Here is a 5,198-nt window from a genome sequence, read left to right as displayed (position 1 = left end):
AATTTGGAAAACCCCAAGCAATGCTATCCTCTCTCTCTCCCTTTTTAAATACAAGAACCAGGGTATAGGATTATCTTTCAACTTAACCCAGTGGCTGTAGCAGAAGGTTGTTACAACAGTTTCTGCTGACATAAGTCAGTCAATTTTCAGTATAAGATATTATATACATATTAATTATATATTATATGTTATTTGTATACATTAACAATATATTACACGTTATATAATAACCTAACATTAATATTGTATGTTAATTAGATATAGCTATCAAAATGTTATTGCATCTATATTATACATTATATATAATGTATGTATATTATATAACTATACATATTATTTTTTATGCTATGTGACTGAGATAGTTGAACACATAGTTCCTAAAATTTACAATATATTTCCAAGTGAAAAAGCTCCAAATTACCTTTTTTGGTCCTAACATGAATCTATGTATATCCAGGAATATTAAAACTGTAAGATTCATAATAATATTATTGTTGTTATTTTGATAATATTATCATATAGTTCGGTGACATTTTTGGAAAGTCAAAGAATTGTTACAAATGTCAACTAAAGTTTTACTGCAGTTATTAGCTAACTTTTAGTGCTTCTATAGTTTTTACTTTTACCGTCCTTTAAAAACAGAAAATATCAAAGAATTTCCCAAACTCACAAAGCAAAACAGGGATAATCTTGAGTCGCCTCATTTGTAAAGTTTTCCATGAGACTACGTTAACGTATAATAACATTTACTTGCAAAAGCTAAAAATCATACAAGTCACAGAGATTATGTAATGTCTATGTAGAAAGAAGTGGGCTGATGTGTCCATGTTTCACTTAGCCATTATTTATGGCATTCTCCTGTTTGACACATTTTCCTAAAGACGTTATGCAATTCTGGACAAACAGACAATGATCTGAAAATAAAAGAAAGGACAAGATGCATGAAGAATAGAGTCAGGTTTAATGTATGTTTATCTAGATTTTCAAAAAGAGGGCAAAAAATATGGCAAAGAGAAAATACGCAAAGTGATAATGGTGGGAAACCAGAAATGCAAAAAACCCAAGTGGTTTTGAAACAAAATTCACATCCAAGCCCACTGTAATAAAGCTGAAGAACTACCAACATAAAGAACAATTTACAGCAAGGGAATACCAACAAGGGACTAGAAGCTGACTTGGCCACAGCAACAACATAAGTCTCAGACAGGGACAGATAGTGTGCACTGCCGAGGGTCACTAACTGTCAGCCCAGAATTGCACACACAATAAAATTATTCGACTGAGTGTGCAACAAAGACAGCTTAAACAAAATATCCTATGAATGTGCATCAGGGAAAAAAAAAACGATCCCAGAAGAAAATTCTGAGATGCAAGAAAAAAATGGTGACAAAAAATAATAAACATGTTCTTGAATCTACAAATAAACAAATGAATGAATAAGTAAATGAAACTATATATGAAAATAGTACTGATAAATTTGAATCATTAAAATGATAATATTGCAACTTATAGGTTACATAAAAACATAAAAAATTGATAATGTATAACTTTCAAACTATTAAAGAGATAAAATAAGGTGAAAAAATGTGAAAAAATCATCTGAAAGAAATATAAAGCAAGACAAATAGCATAAACTCAGCAGCAGAATTGAATCTAAATATGTGACTAACCAAAAAATGATATTTATTTAACTTATTAAAGAAATAAAAGATAGCTATATACTATTTATAAGAGACATGCCTAAAATGTAAAGCCACAGTGATTTATTGAACTGGAAAAGATAAAATTACAATAGGCAAATCCTACCTAAAGTTTGCTATTGTGGGACACATATAGACTTGACGGCCAAAAACATGATTGAATTAGAAAGGATCACTAAATATTGACAAAGAATTTACTGTTCCAGGAAGATATAAAAATTATAAAATTTTATTATCTAATAGTTTGTCCAAAAACTATGTAAAGAAAAATTAACAGAAGCATAAGAAGTTGGACACAAATCTCCAATCAAAATCAAAGACATGAAGACACTGCTCTCAGTAAGAGATCAAATATATTAAGAATTGAGCAAAATTAATCAACTTGTTCTTATATAGAACACTGCATCCAACAAAGTAAAATTTTATATTTTTTAAAGTCAGATAAAACTTTCTAAAAAGTATCTTTGTATAAGGTACTAATGCAAGTCTAACAAATTTCAAATTATAGATTTGTATATGTGTATATGGGTATATGTACATTTACAATATATGTATACAATATATACCATGTATGTATATATATTACACATGTATACACAGATACAAATGTATATAATAAATATACACATATACAAATACATGTAATATACAATACATATAATACATATGATACACATATACAAATATATACACACACACACTTACACGTGTACACAAATCATGTATTTTTAACCACAACTGGCAAATCTGTAAATCATTATCCATAGATAACTAATTAATACAGCCTTATTTATTGGAATTAGTATTTATTAAGCTTGTCAGATGTAAAATCAGTATATCTAGACAAGTTGCATTTTTATATCAGTTTCAAAAGTCAGAAAATTAAGTTGTAAGAAGAATATAATTTTAATACCCAAAAGTAAGATTGATAGAAATATATCTAATATGGAATTATGAGACCTTTCTGAAGAAAATAATGAGTCAATTGAAAGACACTAAAGAAGACTTAAATAACTGGAAAGAAGTAACATTTCTATGGATAGGAATACTCAATATAATAAAAAAATGCTGATTTCCTTTAATGTCTAGAAACATTACAATTTTATTTCTTATACCAACAAGGTATTTTATGGAGCTTGATAAGCTGGTCCTAAAATTTGTATGAGACAACAAAGAGCTAAGAATATTCCTGAAGCAGAACTTGGAGACTTGCTCAATCAGAAAACAGCACTTATTATAAAGCTGTAGTAATTAAGACACTGTGATGCCAGTTTAATACTGGACAAATAAAACATCGGAAGAAAGTAAATAGTCCAACAACAGGCCTGTGCTTATTTGGAAACAAAAAAATACTGCCATTGCAAATCATTTGTGAAAGGGAGGATTATTTTTCTTAATGATACTGCAACAATGTATTATCCATATGCTGTATTACTCAGGGTTCTCCTGGGAAACATAACCTGTGAGGTGGGTGGGTTGGGGGAGAGAGAGAGAGAGAGAGAGAGAGAGAATGTATTATTGGAATTGACTCACAAGGTTATGGAGGATGAGAAGTCCTAACATCTGTCCTATGCAAGCTGGAGACCCAGGAAAACTGGTGGTGTAATTCTGTGTGAGTTAAAAGGCTTGAGAACTGCAAGGAGGGTGGGAGGCCATGGTGTAAGTTGCAGTCCAAGTCCAAGGACCTTAGACCTAAGAGTGTGGTTGTCTAAGGGCAGGATAAGTTGTATGTACAAGCTCAGACAGGGAACAAGTTTACTCTTCCACTTTTTTATTCTACTTAGGCCTTTAACTGATTGGATGATGCCTACTCACAATGGAAAGGGCTATTTTCTTTATTCTGTCTACTGATTCAAACGCTAATGTCTTCCAGAAATACCCTCACAGAAACACCGAGAAGTGATGTTTTACCAGTTATTTGGGTATTCCTTAGCCCAGTGAGGTTGACACATAAAATTAATAATCACCCAATATGAGAAAAAAATTAATTAGATCACAAATTTATATCATATAAAGGCATATTACTTTGAATCTATAAATTTCTTTGGGAAGCATGTCCACTTAAAAAATGTTGATTCTTCCAATCCATAAGCATGGAACGTTTTTCCATTTATTTGTGTTGTCTCTAATTTCTTTCAGCAATGTTTTATAGCTCTCCTCATAGAGATTTGTCAGCTTCTTGGTTAGCTGTATTCCTAGGTATTTCATTTTCTTTGTGGCTATTGTACATGGGATTCTGTTCTTAACTTGACTCTCAGCCAGGACATTATTGATGTATAGAAATGCTACTGATTTTTGCAGATTGATTTTGTATCCTAAAACTTTACTAAAATTTTTTATCAGTTCTAGTAGCATTTTGGCAGATTCTTTAGGGCTTTCTAGGTATGGAACTATATTGCCAGTGGAGAGAGGTAGTTTGCCTTCTTTTCCTATTTGGATGCCTTTTACTTCCTTCCCTTGCCTGATCTCTCTGGCTAGGACTTCTGGTACTATGAAGAATAACAGTGGTGATAGTGGGAATTTTGTCTTGCTCCAGTTCTCAAGGGGGAATACTTCCAGCTTTTGCCTATTCAGTGTGATTTTGGCTGTGGGTTTGTCACAGGCTTTTATCAAACTACCAATATTATTCTTTACAGAATTAGAAAAAACTGTTATAAAATTTATATGCAACCAAACAAGAGCTCAAATAGCAAAGGCTATCCTAAGCAAAAAGAACAAAGCCAGAGACATCACACTATCCCACTTCAAACTATGCTATAAGACTACAGTCACCAAAATATCATGGTGGTGGTACAAAAACAGAAACATAGACCAATGGAACAGAATAGAAAACTCAGGAAAAAAAGCTACATACTTAGACTCGTATTATTTTTGACAAGGCCAACAAAAATAAGCAATGGGGAAAGTACTTCCTATTCAATAAATGGTCGTGGGATCGCTGGCTGGCCATATGCAGAAGAATGAAACTGGACCCTACCATTTACCATATATGAAAATTAACCCAATATTTATTAAATATTTAAGTGTAAGACCTCAAACTATTAAAATCCTGTAAGAAAATCTCAGAAATACCCTTCTCAACATTGGCCTTAGCAAAAATTTTTGGCTATATCCCACAAGCAATTGCAACAAAACCAAAAATTGACAAGTGGGGCTTAATTAAACTAAAGAGCTCTTGCACCGCAAAAGAACTATCAATAGAGCAAACAGACAGCCTACAAGATGGGATAAAACATTCTAAAACTGTACATCCAATAAAAGTCTAGTATTCAGAATCTATAAAGAACTTAAACAAATCAACAAGGAAGAAACAAATTAACCCCATTAAAAAACTGGCAAAGGACTGGGCACAGTGGCTCACACCTGTAATTCCAGCACTTTGGGAGGCCAAGGCAGGCAGATCACCTGAGGTCAGCAGTTTGAGACCAGCCTGGTCAACATGGAAAAACCCAATCTCTTCTAAAAATACAAAAATTAGCTAGGTTTGGTGGTGCAGGC

This window comes from Homo sapiens, chromosome 2, assembly GCF_000001405.40.
Source record: "Homo sapiens chromosome 2, GRCh38.p14 Primary Assembly".
Taxonomy (NCBI): Eukaryota; Metazoa; Chordata; class Mammalia; order Primates; family Hominidae; genus Homo; species Homo sapiens.
This window is presented reverse-complemented; position numbering follows the sequence as displayed.